This window comes from Homo sapiens, chromosome 8 (genome assembly GCF_000001405.40).
Source record: "Homo sapiens chromosome 8, GRCh38.p14 Primary Assembly".
NCBI lineage: Eukaryota > Metazoa > Chordata > Mammalia > Primates > Hominidae > Homo > Homo sapiens.
The window spans coordinates 46863772-46883061 of record NC_000008.11 but is presented as its reverse complement, the minus strand read 5'-3'; the positions used below and the strand labels follow the sequence as shown (position 1 = coordinate 46883061).

At 41.3% G+C, this 19290-nt stretch overlaps 1 long non-coding RNA gene and 1 pseudogene across 1 annotated transcript; one reads left to right on the top strand and one right to left on the bottom strand.

Moving 5' to 3' along the window:
• Positions 1–3047: 3047 nt before the first annotated feature.
• Positions 3048–6105, bottom strand: LOC105375813 (uncharacterized). The gene is made up of 3 exons (XR_928836.1): positions 5901–6105; positions 3863–3988; positions 3048–3473 (listed from the first exon to the last, which is right to left on the bottom strand). It is a non-coding gene; the product is annotated as an uncharacterized LOC105375813 (long non-coding RNA).
• On the top strand, positions 11003–12253 carry LOC728587 (zinc finger protein 736 pseudogene; annotated as a pseudogene).
• The last annotated feature ends 7037 nt before the right edge of the window (positions 12254–19290 follow it).

The following is a 19290-nucleotide window of genomic DNA, read 5'->3' as shown; positions in this document are numbered from 1 at the left end:
ACTGTCACCCAGGTGATGTGAATTAACTGCCTGAAACCTGCCTACAAAGAGAATTGTGTCTTATATCTAGGTCTATCATGTAAGTGATGTGACTCCTTTCTACTGCCTTGGCCCTGCATTGTGACACATAACTCAGCACTTCACCCAAGTGATGTGATTCTCCTTTTTGCGTTCTGCCAAAAGGAAGCATTGTAACATATCACTTGGCTCAGCACCTAGGTGATGTTTCTTCACCTTTTCCTGGGCCTGGATTATGGGTAGATTGTGACATATTGCTGGGCCCAGCACCAATGTGAGATCACTCTCCAGCTGTGGTACTGCACATAAGGGTCTTTGTGACATATATATAGGCCAATTGCCTAGGTGAAGTGAATCTCCTATCTTTCCAAAGTCCTGGCCACAGAGGGGGTTTTGAGATGTCACTGAAACCAGCATCCAGGTGATGCGACACTTCTGCCGGGGTCCTGGCTGCAAGGTGGATTATGACATCTCACTGGACCCATACCCATATAGGTGATGTGACTTTCTTGCCTTCTCTCTGGCCACAGGTGATATTGTTCCATATACCTAAGACCCTAACAAAAGCCTAATAAGAACTCATATGCCTGGGGCCAGGACATGTGCAGGATGGTGACTCTTATTTTTAAATCTTCCCACAAGTGTAATTGTGACATATACTTTTGCCCAGCTCCTGAGTGATTTAATAATTCTGCCTAGGTATAGCACACAAATCAGATTTTGACAAATACCTGGGCCAAGTACCTTGGTGATCTGACTGTGCTATTTTAACAATGTCCTCTGGGGGGATTGTAATATATTTCTGGATCCATCATCTAGGTTACATGACTCTCCTCTCCTACCTGTACCCTGCTTCCTTTGGTAATTGCAGCATTTCTAAACACTGAATCCAAATGACATGACCCTCTTGCCTGGGCCCTGGCAACAGGATGCATTGTTACATATCTCTGGGCCCATCATTTAGGTAATATGGCTCTCCTTTCCTGCCTGGACACAATCCACAAGGGGCATTATGCCATAGAGCTTGACCTAGCACCCAAGTTTTGTGAATTTTCTGTTAGGGCCCTGACTACGAAGAGAATATTGGAATATTTCTGGCTTTGGATTTACATGATGTGGTTGTCCTGCCTGTTTAATATCCACAGAGTGGATGGTGACATATACCTAGGCACAGCTTACAGGCATGATAATGACTCTCATATGTGGGCCCAGCCAATAGGAGGAATTTTGACTTCTGTAACTAGGTTTAGGAACATGAGTGATGTCCATTATCCCCTTCTGGTAAAAAGGTCACAGAAGATTACAACACTCACACATATTTTATAACACCCTTGGGTTGTGTAGAGAGTGTCATTACAAGGCCTAGCACACAGAGGAAATTGTGCATCTTGTATATGCACCCAGCTGACAATAAGGACTTTTACCATCACAGTTGGATGAAGGTAACAGTCCTACATGAAAACAGGACATGTGTGGTATTGTAAATCTAATGCCTAGGATTTTATTCCACTGTGACTGTGATATGAATCTTTGCCAAGTACCTGCATGATTTTACTTTTCAGAGTGGTTCCAGCATACCTGTGGGATTTTGATATCTACCTGGGCCAACTTTGAAGTGATGTGACTCTTCTGCCTGGGCCCTTCCCTCAGTAAGAATTGTGACATCTCTGGATCCTACACCTAGGTGATGTTACATTCTATCCTGCACCATACCAACAGACATCATTGTGACATATCACTGTGTCCATCACTTAAAAGACATAACTGTCAAGACCAGCTCGGTCAGGGAGACCCTAGCCCAGTGGTGCTAGAGGAATTAAAGACACACACAGAAATATAGAGGTGTGGAGTGGGAAATCAGGAGTCTCACAGCCTTCAGAGCTGAGAGCCTCGAACAGAGATTTACTCACATATTTATTGACAGTGAGCCAGTGATAAGCATTGTTCTTATAGATTATAGATTAACTAAAAGTATTTCTTATGGGAAATAAAGAGATGGGCCAAAATAAAGGGATGAGTCTAGCTAGTTATCTGTAGCAGGAGCATGTCCTTAAGGCATAGATCGCTCATGCTATATTGTTCGTCGTTTAAGAATGACTTTAAGCAGTTTTCCACCCTGGGTGGGCCAGGTGTTCCTTGTCTTCATTCTGGTAAACCCACAACCTTCCAGCGTGGGTGTCATAGCCATCATTAACATGTCAGAGTGCTGCAGATATTTTGTTTATGGCCAGTTTTAAGGCCAGTTTATGGCCAGATTTTGGGGGGCTTGTTCCCAACATGTCCTCCTTCTTTGATTTGCAAAGTGATAAAAGCAAAGGCAGCTTCATCACGGTGTTCTCACAGGAGTTGGGATCTGCATCTGCAGACTATACAAAGACAAACAACTCAGATTAAAAGTACAATCGTTATTGAAATCACAGAGCTTCCAAGTGTTTTTATTCATTTTAATGGGTTACTAGGTGCTAATTTGTCTGCAGCTCCTTTAAGCACTCCAGTTCCTGGCATTAAGGTCAGGTTTGCCTGGGACACATTAAATATTTGTTTTTTAAACTTTGTAATATCCAAAAACAAGTTTGTAGAGTGCCCCTCTAGATGCTTTTTTATTCTTTCCTAAATTTTGATCTTATTAAGAGCTATTAATAGTTTCCACAAATCCTTATGTTTAGCTCCTACAAAGGGCCATATCATTTGAGGTTGAGGTGCCACTATACTGCCATGGTTCCAGATAACAGAAACTCTTGCCATACTTCTTATCATTTCTACCATCTGACCATTTTGTTCAGACCAGCTGAACATAGTGTGGCCATGGCACGCAGACTGAGAGGTGTAATTCAAGCTAAACATCCCCTTAGGGGACCAATCAATAATGATTCCATAGGAATCACTGTGCAGCACCTCTGCCTGTTCTGTAATGTAGTCTTCCTAAACAAGTACGTTCATTATTTCTAACTGGGTCCAATCCTGTTTACAAATAGGTTTTTGAGGGCGGTATGCCTCAATTATAGGAGCAGATTTATTATGGTAAATACTGAGACCAGAAAGCATGTGTAACTGTGTCATGGAGTGATTACATTCAGGCATTATTACCAGCCAAGATTAATAAATATGCCCAGTTAGTATAATTGTTCTCTGTGTCAGCCCTTGTTTAAGGAATACACATGGCAATGGTGATCATTACTATCATAGCTACCATTAAATTACTCATTGTGACTGGCTGTCCTGCTTTTCTCAGTTTTTTTTCCTGCCATCTGTGACAGCTTCTTGATCTGTCCCCAGGTTGGTGGCTGTGTTCAACGGGTGTTGCTCATGACAGTTGGGGTCTTCCTCGGTGTCAGTCTCAACATGGCTGTAACTAGGGGATCCTCAGGATCCTCCTGGAATCTTTTCCTCAACATCTGGCTCATGATAAGGTTTTAGGTGTCTTGTTGGTATCCAAATTGGCTGTTGATTCAGTCCTGGAGAAACACAAGAATAACTCCTACCCCAAGTTATTATTTTACCTATTTTCCAAATTTTTGTTATTGGATTGCATTAGTTACCAGGCAATCAGCCATTTGATTCCCTTTAGTTAAAGGTCCTGGAAAAGGTGTATGAGCCCTAATGTGAGTGATGTAAAAAGGGTGCATTCTATTCCTAACTGCTCTTTGTAATTGGGTAAATAAAGTCATCAGTTGTTTGCCTGTATGAAATGGTAACTGAGCATTTTCAATTAACTGTGTGGAATGAACCACGTATGAAGAATCAGAAATCACATTAATAGGCATATCAAAAGCAGTCAGTACCTCAATTACAGCTACAAGCTCCGCTTTTTGAGCTGAAGTATAGGGTGTCTGGAAAACTTTACCTTTTGATCCAGAATAAGAAGCTTTACAATTACTAGATCCATCTGTGAAACAATGAAAATGCTCAGCAGGCTGCAGGTTGTTTACCACAGGAATTGTAAATGCAAACCGTCCACAGTCTTGCTCAGCTAAGGGGATAGTAAAGAAACAATCTTTTAAATTTATGACAATTAAAGGCCAATTTTTTGGAATTAGGAGAAGGCAATCCTGGCTGTAATGCTCCCATAGGTTGTATAACTGAATTGATGGCTCTTAAGTCAGTTAACATTCTCCATTTACCTGATTTTTTCTTAATTCCCAAAACTGGAGAATTCCGAGGGGAAAATGTTGGAGCTATGTGCCCATTTTTTAATTGTTTAGTAACTAATTCCTCTAAAGCCTCCAGTTTCTGTTTACTCAGTGGCCATTGTTCTATCCAAATTGGTTTATCTGTTAACCATTTTAAAGTATAGTTTCTGGAGGCTTAACAATGGCCGCTATCAAAAATGATATCCTAAACCTTGGCGGGAACTTTGTCTTTCCTCTTGAAGTGGTTCTTTCAAAACTTGCAAATTTTTTCCTAGTCCAATACCAGGGATATACCCCATTTCATGCATCATATGTTGACTTTGAGGGCTATACAATTGTTCTGGAATTAGAACTTGTGCTTCCCATTGCTGTAATAAATCTCTCCCCCATAGATTTATAGGTACAGAAGTTATAATTGGTTGAATAGTTCCAGGTTGTCCATTGGTCCCTTCACAATGCAAAATGTAGCTACTTTGATATACTTCAGGGGCTTTACCAACCCCAACTATGTTAAATTGAGTGGGTTGAATTGGCCATGTGGACAGCCAGTGCTGTAGAGAAATGATTGAAATGTCTGCTCCTGTATCTACCAAAACTTTAAATTTGTTTTCCTGAGTAGTTATTTCATAGGTAGGATGTTTATCAGTAATTTGATTTACCCAATAAGCTGCTTTGCCTTGTTTGTTTGTGCTTCCAAATCCTCCTGTTCATTTAATTTCACTTTTCCCTATTTCCACATATGGCACAATCAGGAGCTGTGCTATACGCTCTCCTGGCTCTGCTTTCCAGGGAACAGAAGTAGATATCACAATTTGAATTTCCCCATTATAATCTGAATCAATGACTCCTGTTTATATTTGTACCCCTTTTAAATTTAAACTAGACCTTCCTAGAAGTAATCCTATTGTCCTCACTGGCAAGGGTCCACAGACTTCTGTTGGGACCTTTTGCAGGGGATCCCCAGGCAGAAGGCTCACAGCTTTTGTACAGCATAAATCTACTGTGGCACTACCAGCTGTGGCAGGGGACAGACATGGTACAGGTGTGAGGGAATGGCCTGAGCCAGAAATGCCCCAGTTTGGAATGGGGTCCAGGATGGGCCCCTCATGGCATTTCCCAAAATTGGGTTCCCATCTTTATCAAACTTAGAGTGACACTGATTAGCCTAATGTTTTCCTTTACTACCTTTTGGAAATATTTCAGGCTCAGCAGTTTTCTTTTTTCCCCTATCTGGCAGCCTGACTAGCTGATTTATTCTACATTCTTTTTTAGTATGAAGAGCTTGTTCAAATTCTTTGAGTAATTTAAAAGGAAAAGGCTTAAATGTAGCTATAAAATTTCCCTGTTGATCTGGGGGGGTGCATTCTAACAAGGAACTGCCAAGCCTCTATATCACCGTCTCATCTAGCTTGCTGGATTCCTGTCTGAATAGAACTGAGAGCGGTCGCTCAAGGTGCTGCTCAAACTGTCCCTGCGGCAACTACTTTTCACCCAGTGTCCTCCAGAAAAGAAATATCTGGAGGGCCAGGCCACTGTTTTTCTTCAAAATAATAATGACAGGGTGCAGAAGTGTAGGGATAAACCTCTTCCTCCTTTGCTGCTTTAGGTTTAGCTGGCAAACAAACCTGCTCTGTTACTTTGTTATACTCTCCTTCCTCCTCATCATCAGTGTGAAAAAGTTCCAAGGTGGAATGAACCAGAGCTCATACTTGTCCCATTGTTACCTTGATGCTTCTGAACTCCCCTTCTTACCACGCAGATCGCTTAAGAGTACTCTGGTGTCCTCCAGCTTTGTTCCACATTCTCCAACCATTTATCAGGTGACCCTTCAACCTGGATTCCAGCCCGTATGATGGATGCCAATTGCCGAGACCAGCTTGTTTGGGGAGACCCTAACCCAGTGACGCTAGAGGAATTAAAGACACACACACAGAAATATAGAGGTGTGGAGTGGGAAATCAGGGGTCTCACAGCCTTCAGAGCTGAGAGCCTTGAACAGAGATTTAACCACGTTATTTATTGACAGCAAGCCAGTGATAAACATTGTTTTTATAGATTATAGATTAACTAAAAGTATTTCTTATGGGAAATAAAGGGATGCACCAAATAAAGGGATGAGTCTGGCTAGTTATCTGTAGCAGGAGCATGTCCTTAAGGCACAGATCGCTCATGCTATTGTTTGTGGTTTAAAAACCACCTTTAAGCAGTTTTCCACCCTGGGTGGGCCAGGCATTCCTTGCCTTCATTCTGGTAAACCCACAACCTTCCAGCATGGGCATCATAGCCATCATTAACATGTCAGAGTGCTGCAGATATTTTGTTTATGGCCAGTTTTGGAGCCAGTTTATGGCCAGATTTTGGGAGGCCTGTTCCCAACACATAACTCTCCTCTCTGGAATGGGCCCTTACAAAGTGCAAAATAGTGACATATTCCTAGGCCAGGCACACAGGTGATGATACTCTCATGCCAGGGCCATGCCCAAAAGAGGGATTTTGATGTATCACAGGGCCTATCATGTAGGTGATATGGTTCTTCTGCTTGGATGTGCCTGCTTGAATAGTTACATATTGCTAGGCCAGGCACAAAGGTACTCTTTTGCCTGGGCCATGCTTTAAGGAAGGCTTTGTGATGTATCTCTGGGCCTATCACCTAGGTGATGTGACTTCCTGCTTGGCCCTGCCCACATGTAGCATTGTGACATAAGGGTAGAAACTGCACCTAGGTGATGTTACTCTCTTGCCTGGGTCCTTTTTTAAGGAGGACTTGTGAATATCTCAGGACCCAGTACTACGTGATGTGGCTCTTCAGCCTGTTTTCCATCCACATATTAAATTGTGACATATACCTAAAGAAGCACCTAGGTGATATGACTGTCTTATTTATTTTTTAAATATGGTGTCTTGCTCTGTCACCAGGCTGGAGTGCAGTGGCTCCATCTTGGCTCACTGCAACTTCCACCTCCCAGGTTCAAGTGATTCTCCTGCCTCAGCCTCCTCAGTAGCTGGGACTATAGGCATGTGCCACAGTGCCCAGCTAATTTTTGTATTTTTAGTAGAGAGGGGTTTCACCATGTTGGCCAGGCTGGTCTCAATCTCTTGACTGATATGACTGTCTTTTTCTCCCTGAGCCTTGCCTACTGGTGACATTGGGCCATATCTTTGAGCCCATGACCTAAGTGATGTGACTCTCTTCTATCTGGGCCTTTACAATGGAAAGATTGTGACATATTGATGAGCCCAGCATTTAGGTAATGTGACTCTCATTTTGTTGCTGAACAATGCCCATGAACAGGACTTTTGCTGTATTTCAGAGCCCAGCACCTGGGTGATGTTACTCTTCTGCCTAGGTCATGCATAAAGAGGTAATTGTAGCAAATTGCTTGGCCCAGCACCCTAATGATGTGACTCTGCTGTTAGTTTCAGAGCCACAGAAGGTATTTTGACATATCTTTGGCCCATTTTGTAGGTGTTTTGTCTCTTATCACTTTGCTGTGTTTCTTCCAGGTGTGTTTGTATCATATTGCTTGCTCCAGCCCCCAGTTAATGTGAACCTATTTGCTAGGCACTGCCAAGAGAAAACATCTTGACATATTGCTTGGTATAGCACCTAAGTGATGTTAACCTTCTCGTTGGTTTTTTTGCCCACAAATGGGATTATGACATACTAACTTATATTATATAAAATCTTTGGTGGTAGAGAGTTTCATAACAGGGCCCAGCAAAATGTTCAGATTGGGACTCTCCGTTACACACCCAGGTGAAATTAAAAGTTGTCACCATACCACATTTACAATGCCCACTCTTGAGGGCCTGAGTCTAACAGAGGAATAGAGTAGAATGTTGGAAATGTGGCTTTTACAGATGGATCTGGCCACAGGTGGAATGGTGACTCATTTCTGGAAGCAGCCCAGTGGCATAATAAGGGGTCTTCTTTCTTAGCCCTGCCTATAAGAGAGATGTTGACTATCAAACCTGGGTTTAGGGCAATATGTAAGACTGTGAGTCCATACAAGCACGTAGGCCTCAGAGAGGTTTCCAACTCTCATGCAGGTTTTATGCAGCCCTCAGATGTTGTAGAGAGTGTCTTACATTGGCCCAGCACACATGTAAGATTGTGACTCTAACATACATGCTGAGCTAAAAGTTAAAGGTGTCACCCTCAAAGATGAGGAGATTGTGTCATATCACTGGGCCTCATACCCAGGTGTTGAGACTTTTTGGCTCAAATTCCTTTCCATGGGTGCATTGTTACATATTGCTAGGTAATAATCATAATAGTGTGACTCTTCTGCCTGGGCCCTGTCAATAGGGGATATTATCACACATCTCTTGGCCTCTAAGCTAGGTGATGTGTTTCTCCAGCCTGTGCCCTGCCCCTAGAAGGCATTTTGAAATATCGCTGAAACTAGTGTCTAGGTAATGTAACTCTTCTCTCCTGCCTGCGTCCTGCTTACTGAAGGAATTGTGACATACGGCTGAATGCAAAACCTAGGTGGTATGTTTCTTCTCTCTAGTAAAGAGTTTATATCTGTGCTGCATTCTGTTTCATTACTTTGGTGTTCTACCTTTATAACAGTACCAAAGTGCTTTGATTACTGAAGGTTTATTTATGTTTGTAAATTGTTAAATGTAATGTTTCCAATATTTTTTTTCTTTTTAAAGATTGTGAGGTTTTTCATGTTCCGTTGAAAAAGAGCATGCTCAAAAGTGTGTTGTTATCTGGGCATAGTGGCTCATGCCTGTAATCTCAGCATTTTGGGAGGCCAAGGAGGGTGCATGGCAAGGTCAGGAGACTGAGACCAACCTGGCCAATATGGTGAAACCTCATCTCTCCTACAATACAAAAACTTAGATTGGCATGGTGGTGCATGCCTGTAGTCCCAGCTACTCAGGAGGCTGAGGCAGGGGAATCACTTGAACCTGGTGTGCTGTTTAATTTTTGCATTTTGAATTTTTCAGCTTTTCTTCTGTTACTGATTTCTATTTCCATTCCTTATGGGTTATAAAAATTGTCTGTAAAATTTCAATTAAAATATTGTTAAGGCTTCTTTTGTGGTGTCACAGGTGGTCCATCTAGGAAAACGTTTTATGAGCTATTGAAAATAATGTGTATTCTGTTGTCTGTATACATTTGTTAGGTGTAATTATTGTACAGTGCATTCAAGTTTCTTGTTCCTGTATTGATATTCTATTGTGCTTTATTTATTACTGAAAGTGGGATATTGATGTATCCTTCCATTATTATATTGCTGTCTATTTTTGCCTCAGTTCTGTCAATGTTTGCTTTATGTGTTTGGGAAAAATGTCATATATTTGTAGGTTCTCAGTAAATGAACCCTCTTACTATAATTGAATATCCTACTTTTTCTTTTGTGAATTTTGACTTAAAGTAAATTACATGAAATAGGACTGTTTTAAATTATTGCCTCTTCTTCTCTCATCTGGTTAACGCTTGCATGGAAAGTATTTCTCATCCTACCATTTTCCATCTATATTTTTTATTAGATATGAAGTGAGTCTCTTGAAAACATGACATAGTTAGATCTTGATATAGGTCATGATATAGTTAGACTGTTATTTTCATTTTGAAGGATACTTTTGCTGGATATAGTATTCTTGCTTAGACTTTCTTTTTCGGTGTTTTAACTATGCCTTTCTACTCCTTTCTTGCCTGAAAGAATTATGTTCATACATTTACTGGTAACCTTGCAGAAGCTTGCACACAAATAACGCATCTCTTTTTTCTTCCTGCTTTCCACATTCTCTACTTCTCTGTGACTTTCAATACATTGCTTACATTGTGTCTTATTAGAAATCTCTTTGTGTTAATCTTAGTTGAAATTTGCTGAGCTCTTGATTTTCTTATATTTTTTTACTAATGTTGAAGTGCATATTATTCTTTTTTGTACTTATACTCCACAATTTTTATTTCTTTTTGTGGTTTTTATTTTATGGTTTGGTTTCATTTTTGTTATTTCATTTTGTTTTCTTTATTTCCATTTTACTCATTGAGCATCACTGAGATGGTAACTTTGGATTTTTAGGGTAATTTTTTTTTAATATGTATAGACTTTAATTCAAAATGTCTCAGGTAATTTTTAAATCTCCTTTTTTTATAATTGATTTCTGGATATTCATATTTATCTTTGATTGAGCCATATTTTCTTTATGTTTTGTATATGTTGTAATCTTAGGTTGCAATTTGTATAATAAAAAGCCACATATCAAAATCTTTATTAAGTGGCTTTTGTCTGTGGGAATATTATGCCAATTTTTTAGGCTAGAGATTCTTACAGTCTCTCAAGCCTGTTCTCTGGATGTTTTCTCTGGATTTGTGTATTTTTTAGTTAAAAAAAAGATTCCAAATGTTTTTTATTTTTCTTTTTCTCTTTCTTTTTTTTTTTTTTTTGAGTTGGAGTTTCACTCTTGTTGCCAAGGCTGGAGTGCAATGGCACAATCTTGGCCCACTGCAACCTCTAACTCCCAAGTTCAAGCAATTCTCCTGCCTCAGCCTCCCAAGTAGCTGGGATTACAGGCACCTGCCTCTACGCATGTAAAGTCATGATAGGATAAAGAATGGCTGTGGTGGGTAACTATGGAACACTTTTAATATACTACTATGTGGTTCTTGGCATTTTGCTCACTTAGGGTCCTGCAAAGGTTTATCTGGTTCTTAGACTTTTCACAAAGGCATTTTTATCAGTATATTTCTGTTAAGTTTATATGTCTATAAAGGAATTAGAGCCTGTGGTATTTTACTGTCACCTTCCTAATATGCTTTGTATAATTATATACTTGTAAAGTGTATTCACCTGAGTCCAGTGAAGGAGAAATTTTGTTGTTCTGTATTTCTTCAGCTGGCTTTTTCAGTTTACTGCAAAGATATTGCTGGAGTATGACATACAAGATTCATTTCAAAAAGCAATTCTGGTAAAATATGGAAGCTGTGACCTTAATAGTTTACATTTAAAGAATGACTACCAAAGTGTGAGTAATTGCAAGGGACAGAAAAGCAGTTATAATGGCCTTCCTCAATATTTGTCAACTACCCATAACAAAACCTGTCAATGTAATAAATATGTCAAAGCTTTTGAGTTGTGCTCAACCTTCCCTGAATGTAAGAAAATTTTTAGCAGAGAGAAATGCTACAAATGTGAAGAATGTGGCTAAGACTGTAGGTTGTTCTCAGATTTTACTATACAGAAGAGAATTCATACTGCAGACTGATGCTACAAATGTGAAGAATGTGGCAGTCTTTACAAATTTCTCAAACATAACTGAACATAAGAGAGTTAATCCTGGACAGAAACCCTACAAATGTGAAGAATGTGGCAAAACTTTACCCTCTCCTCAACCCTTATTAAACACAGGAGACATCATCCTGGAGACAGATCCTACAAATGTGAAGATTGTGACAAAGCCTTTAAGTGCTTCTCAAACATTACTAATCATAAGAGAATTCATACTGCAGAGAAAGCCTACAAATGTGAAGAATGTAACAAAGCCTATAGGTGGTTCTCAGACCTTACTAAACATAAGATAATTCATAGTGGAGAGAAACCCTACAAATGTAATGAATGTGGAAAAGCTTTTACATGGTTCTTGGCCCTTAGTAAACATAAGAGAATTCATACTGGAGAGAAACCTAACATCTGTGAAGAATGTGGCAAAGCCTTTACCCACTCCTCAACCCTTATTAACCAGAAGGGAATTCATATGGAAGAGAGACATTAAAAATGCAAAGAATGTGGCAAAACCTTTAAGTGCTTCTCAGACCTCACTAATCATAAGAGATTTCACAATGGAGAGAAACTCAGCAAATATGAAGAATGTGGCAAAGCATTGAGCTCATTCTCACACCTCATCAGACATCAGAGAATTCATACTGGAAAGAAGCTCCACAAGGGTTTAAAATGTGGAAAAGCCTTTAACAAGTCCTCATATTGTGTTCAACATCAGAGACTTAATACTGAACAAATGCAATATAAAGGTAATGACTGTTGAAGAACATTTAACTTAACATCTTGGGGGGTCTCTAAGAACTTGCTTTATAATCTGGATGCTTTTGTGTTGGGTGCATATATAGACTTTTACTATTATGGAATGCCCTTCTTTGTCTTTTTTAAAAAATCTATGTTGATTTAAAGTCTGTTTTGCCAGAAACTAGGATTGCAACCCCTGTTTTTTTCTGTTTTATATTTGCTTGGTAGGTTTTTTCTTTTTCCCTTTATTTTGAACTTATTTGAGGTGGGTGTCTCGATTACTGCCTACCATTAGATCTTGATTCTTTATTCAGCTTGCCACTCTTTTAACTGGGGCATTCAGCCCATTTACATTTAAGGTTAGTATTCAGATGTGTGGATTTGATTCTGTCACTACAAGTAATCTTAGCTGGCTACTTTGCGCAGTTGTTTACATGGTTGCTTTATAGTGTCTACAGTTGTACTTCACTGTCGTTTTGTAGTGAGTGGTAATAGTCTTTTTCTTATTTAATGCTTTCTTCAGAAGCTCTTGTGAGGCAGGTCTTGTGGTAACAGATCTCTTCAGTGTTTGCTAATCTGAATAGAATTATATTTATTTTTTAGTTGTGAAGCTTACTTTGGTCAGATATGACATTCTGGGTTGAAATTCTTTTTTTAAGAATGTTGAATATTGGCCCCTAATCTCTTTTGACTTGTCGGATTTCAGCTGAAAGGTTTGTTGTTTGTCTGATGGGCTATTTTTAGAGGTGACCTCCCCTTTCTCTCTAGCTGCCTTTAACACATTTTTTTCTTCCATTTTGACCTTGGAGAATCTCATGATTATATATCTTGGGGATGAACTTTTCATGGGGTATCTTACTGGGGTTCTCCACATTTCCTGCACTTGAATGTTGGCCTCTGTATCTAGGTTGGGAAAGTTCTCATGGATGATATCCTGAAATATGTATTTCAAGTTGTTTTCATTCTCCTCATCACTTTCAGGCACTCTCTTTAATCACAGATTTGGTTTCTTTACATAATCCCTTATTTAATAGAGGTTTTGTTCATTCCTGTCTATTCTTTTTTCACTATTCTTGTCTGTCTTATTTCAGAAATCCAGGCTTGAAGCTGTGAGATTCTTTCCTCTGCTTGGCCTATTCTGCTGTTAATACTTGTGATTACATTAAAAAGTTTTTGTATTGTGTTTTTCAGATCTATCAGGTTGGCCACATTTTTCTCCAGACTGGCTGTTTTTTTCTGACAGTTCCTGCAATTTTTTCCCTTCCTTGAATTGGGTTGCAACTTACTTTTGTAGCTCAATGAAGTTTATTTCTATCCATATTCTGAATTCTACTTCTGACATATTAGGTCTTGCTGGAAACATAATTTGGTCATTTGGGTTAAAGAAGTTACTCTGGCTTTTTGGGTTTTAAACATTTTTGCACTGATTTAATCTCATCTTTGTGGGCATATCTTTGAGGTTGCTGACCTTTGAATGGGGTTTTGGTTTTTTTTCATCCTATTCGATGCTCTTGAATATTTGATTGTGGTATAAGGTGGATTCAGCCAACTTGCTTTGTTCCTGGGAGATTTTTTTGTGTGTGGTGGTGGGGAAGCAATGCTCAGCTCACTACTCAGAGGCTGCATACTCTGGGGGACTTGTATTGAGCCCCAACTGTCTTCCATGGCTCCTTGATATTTGGAGTCTGCCACTGTGTAAGACTAAAGTGCCACCACTGCAGCAGAGTGCTAGTGGATATGGGGTTTCTGCCTGTCTTTGGGCATTCACCTCAGTGGCAGGAGCAAAGCAGCTGGGAGGGGAGTGGGGATACATGCTGGAGACTGTGCATTGTTGCACTAAAGGTGGTGTTGGCTTGGGGCAGGATGCTGGCTAGTGAAGATTTTGATGCTTTTTATGCCCTCCCAAGAAGGTGTCTGGAAGGATACCCCATTCTCCATAAAGTGTTAGGAAAAAGGTAGGGGTGGGGCTTTCTGGCTCTCTGCCCACCAAAGCTTCATCTCCATTGGCAGTCACTGAGGGTGGCAGGGGCATACTGCATTCCCATTTGCTGGTGGGGCAAGCAAATCCAAACCCTCCTTTGCAGACATGTGCCAGCAAAGTAATGTGGGGAGTTGCCATGATGCCAGGGCTTCCCCTTCAGTATGGGGAGGAAACATATGGGCTGGTGCAGTCATAGGGACTGCCTTGCTGGAGCACTTCAGGGATCAGGTGCGGCCCACCAGTGCAGATGCTATGGTATGGGCTCCCAGGGTACCTGAGACTGCCCTGTCAGCATCTGTAGCCAGACTGGGTCCCTGGGAGAGGCCAACAGACAAAGGAGTGCTCAGTTGGACCAGGTTCTTCTGATTTGCAAGACCATCCTGCAGAAATTAGGTCCAACAGTTCCCCTAGTGCTGAAGTCTCTTATGGGAGAAAGTTGAGCCTAGAGAAATGGCCATCACAGGCCACACTTAACTACAGATTCTCTTGTGCCAAACCCTCTGGGCACCACATGAGCTGGCTTGCTGCCCCACCTTTTTGCTTGTCTTCTGGGGGTTGCATCTCAGGGAGATGTAGGTCAGCAATCCCTCAGTGCAGTCAGCTCAGGAAGGAAGATCTGTGCTTTTGGCCAATTTAGGCATTCACTGTCTGGTGAGGAGCAATGGGTAGTTTGTGGGACCCATGGAGGATGGACTGGCCTCATCTCCTTGGGTAAACTGCACCTTGTTTGAGGTGTGAATAAGGCACTTAGGGTTTTGGATTTATCATTAGTCTGAGCATAGCAAGGACAGTTCTACTGCAGAGGCAGTGGCAGAAATATTTTCAGTTTCCCCTGGAAGCTCTGTCCAGGGAGTTGCTAAGTTTCTACTGGCTCAATACCTCTGGCCCAGGCCTGGAGAACCTGCCCAGTGAGAATATATGCGAGCAGGCACTCATGTAACAGTCTGGCCACTTTTCTGAAGGGCTGCTATAGTTTGCTAGGTGTCAACTGCAGTCTCTAGTCACCTCAGATTTTCCAGTACCTAAAGTGATCACCAGCAAATGCTGCAAAACAGCAGCAATGGCAGCATGCCCTTTTCCCTGGTAACTCCATCCTAGGGAGGTATAGGCTTGTTTCCAGGTCAAAAGCTCCTGTAGGAAGTAGCTGGAAACCCCTGTTGAAAGGTCTTACCCAGTGAAGAGAACATGATTAGGGATCCACTTAAGAAAGCAGCCTAGCCACATTTTTGTAGGACAGGTGTGCTGTGCAGAAGTACCACTTGCATCCCCAATTTATTTGGATTCTCCAAAGCCAGAAGGCTGGAACAGCTAAGTCACGAAAACAGCAAAAATGGCAGCTCCCTCTTGCTCTAGAAACTATATCCCAAAGAGGTTTCAAAATTCCATTGACCAAAGATGGAAAGGTGGTAACGGGACACCCTGGTTAAGAAGTATTTTTGAGTGAGCAGGAATGAGATTGGGAACCTGCTTTAACAGGCAGTCTGACCATGTCTTTTTAGAGCATGTGTACTGTGCTAGGAGATCCTTTCTGCCCCCAGTCAACTTGGACTCTTCAAAGCCTGAAGAAAGAGGAATAGGAAATTCCTCTTTCCTATGTACAGGTGTGTAACCTCCTGCTTTGCTGGACTTGTAGCTACGTTTTTGGAGAAGCCTGGAAAGCCAGAGTATCTAAGGCTCTTGAGTCTCTGCACAGGCCCGAGTGGCTGCTCTGCTGAGACTCCATGTAGCTCTGTGTGTTCAACTGAAGGCCTTGATGAAGTGGGTTCATGAGGGTATCTCCTCACCTGAGAGTTGCAAAGATCTGTGGGAGAATCATGGGTTCCCAGGGCCCACATGCACTCACTGCTTTACTGGGTGGGGAGGTTCCCTTGGCTCCATGTTGTTCCCAGGTGGCCTGTTGTCCTGCCTTGTTTTACTTCATTCTCCATAACTTAAGTTGTTTTTTAAATTAGTCCCAATGCAAGTAGCTGGATGTTTCATTTGAAGGTGCTGTATTTATGCATACTTTGCATTCCTCTTTATGAGAACTAGGGAGTCTAGCTGCTTCCAGTCAGCAATCTTGATCACTTTCCTCTAAAAGGAATCTACTTTTTTATATTGAAAGAGTTTAATATATTTTCAAACTCAAATATTGGCATAATTTACCTCTTGCATTTGATGCTATGTCTTCATTTCTAGAATTTATGGGAAAGAACATGGTCAATGCTTGTTGCACCAGAGTTATGAGAGGTTCTTCTACATTAGATGGACAGATTTACATACTTTCCTATAGAAGATTTAGAAAACTGAAATCTAAGATACCTGAAGACATTCTAAGTGGAAAGGCCACTTAGTGGTTGGTTTACAACAGTATCATAAGTGACAGGATGATAGGAGAGTGGAAAGTGATCAGCATAATATTCTGCATATAGTAAGAGAAACAATTTAAATTTTATAAGGAAAATAAATAATTTTTTTCTCCTAATATTTTGGCAACTATAAAAACATGCTTACAATGTTACTTTCATAGATACTATGACTATTAAGTGTGTTAATTTTTAAGATAAAATATTTGAGAATTATATTGCTCAACACGGCCAATAAAATGTTTTTAAGTTGCCTATTTAAAAAAATCTGTCAATTTTGATTGCATACCTAGCTATTTTTTTTAACATTGAGGATAAGCTGTAAAATAATTCATACAAATAATATAAACTATAATTTGTATATAAACTATAATTAAGTAAATAATTACTTAAATTATTTATTTAAGAAATCTAATTACATTTTAAATACATTTCTCTCACTTGTTAGTATTTGTGTAGCATATTATTTTTAAGATTTTGCCTCTAAAACAGGTAATAATTTGAACAAGAAAAACCCACAATTTGATGATTGGCATGAAAATAAATTTCAGGAAAATAAAAAGTTTTTAAGATTACCTAATTAAAATAATGTAAGGGATAAAAATGTTAATATTTATTTTCTACACATTATTGGGCAAAAGTAACCCTGAGATAGTAATGTGCACAAAATACTATTAATTGTATTCTTGAGACTGGCACTTAGAGAAACTCCACCACAGGCCCAGGATTCCCTAGACATTTCTTCTAGGAGAACATCCAATGGAAATTAAGCAGAAGGCCATGTCCACAAATATAAATGGATGTTCACTTCCTAGAGACCAATGGGTGGTGGTTGCAGAAAGAGTAGGGACTTCTTGGTGCTCCAGGAAGGCTCTATTCAGCACCACACTAGAAAAGGGGCCTGGAGCTCCACTGCATCCTCCTACCTGCAGGGGCCTCAGAGGGCCCTGGGAGAGTCCAGCCTCGGTGCTCTGTCCTTTCCCTGGCCCTTGAGTCCTGCCTCACCTGCTAGCTTTTTCCACAAACAATTCAGTATGGCAATGCCCAATGCAGCCCCACTAGAGGAAGGCAATCAAGAGTGTCAAGGCCCACACCCAACTTTGCACATTTAGTGACTTATTAACTAGTCAGTAAGTTAGAGCAGAATGTGCTGCTGTGACCCCCTGAGATCACATTTTAGGAGGAAACCTGGGTGGCACCTGCCTGAGGCTGTGCATTGGAGGAAGGATGGACAGGCCACCTGGGCTTCAGTGAGCATGTGCCCCTGGCCACCCCGGGGAGACATGGGCTTGGCAAGAGCAGGCAATAAGGGTGTCATACAGCAGATACGCTGAGCTGTCAGGTGGGCACAAAGGGGTAGGCATGGGGGGTCCCTGAGAGGGAGAACCTTCTCAGGGCCCTGAACCCAGCCCAGAGATGCCCCAGGATCTTGAAGCCCAGACTGTACCTAGAGCTGCATGGTGGGCACGGTGCAGTGGCCTATTAAAAGTGGGGTGAGTAGCCAGTCAATGAGGGGCTCTCATTGCCTATTTTCTGATCAGCAAATTGATCCCCCAAAGCCCCAAGCCAGGAAGGGCAAAAGCACTGGACTGAGGCATCATTTTTTTTTTCCACTGGCTCCCATAAGCCTCAGACCTCTTTGGGCTTGCTTGAGACCTCCTTGGGCTTGTCTTGAGGAAGAAGATCCCTCTTCCTTGCAAGCATAGGCACAGAAGCAACCAGACATGTGTGGAAGGCCAACCAACAGCCACATTTTTAGGCCCACCTGGGCCTCCTCACTCCTCTGGCATGTGAAAGCCAACTGGCATTCCGGAGTCCAGAATTCACATTTAGTTCCAGAACTAAGGAGTTCAGCACCTGGGACAGAGCAGAAGTGGGCCTGTTAATTCCTTGGCATAAGGTCCAAATCAGAGAACTGGCCTGACTGTGCTGCTGCAGCAAGGCAGTGGGTGTCCTGTTCGAAGCAGGTCCCACTCTCTTCCTGCCTTCAATTATTTCACTTGCAGCTTGTCATTTGTACCAGCTCTTTGTCTACCCCCACCAACATCCTGTGGTTTTTGAAATTCCTCTGAAGACTGCATGAGCCAAGCATTAAGGGTCACAGTGTTCTAGCCTACTCGATTTCACCTGTGAGCAGAAACAAGGCAGGAGAGTCTCATCATCTGGATTCTGGGCTCAGGATACATTATAATCTCCTTTGCAGACAGGGCCATGTCAGAAGAGTCACATCACCTCGGTACAGCCTCAAGTAATATGACACCATGTCCACTGCAGACAGGGTTGAAGAAAAAGGGGAGAGTCACAACACCTAGGTGCTGGGCTCAACAATATGTAATAATCCCCTCTTTTGGCAGACTCCAGAATAAAGAGGAGAGTTGCATTTACTAGGTTTTGCACTCAGTGATATGTCACAATTCCTTTTGTGGGCAGGACCTAAGCAGGAGAGGAGAGTCACATTTCGTAGATGCTACATCCAGCGATGTCACAATGTTCCTTGGGGGCAAAGCACAGTAAAAATAGACCAGTCACCTAGCTGACAGGCCAGATATATGTGATAATATCCCTTGTTGGAAGGTCCCAGGCAGAAGAATCACATTATCGTGATTCTGACCTAACGATATGTCACAATGTACACTTGGTATACAATTAAAGGAAGTTTTAACACCTGGGTACTAGGCCCAGTGACATGACACAATCTCCTCATCTTTGAGGGTGACACCTTTAACTGTTAGCTTGGTGTGTATGAAAGTCACAATTTCACTTGTGTGCTAGGCAATTGTATGAAGTCCTCTACAGCATCCGAGGGCTTTATGCAGCATGTATGAGAGTTGCAA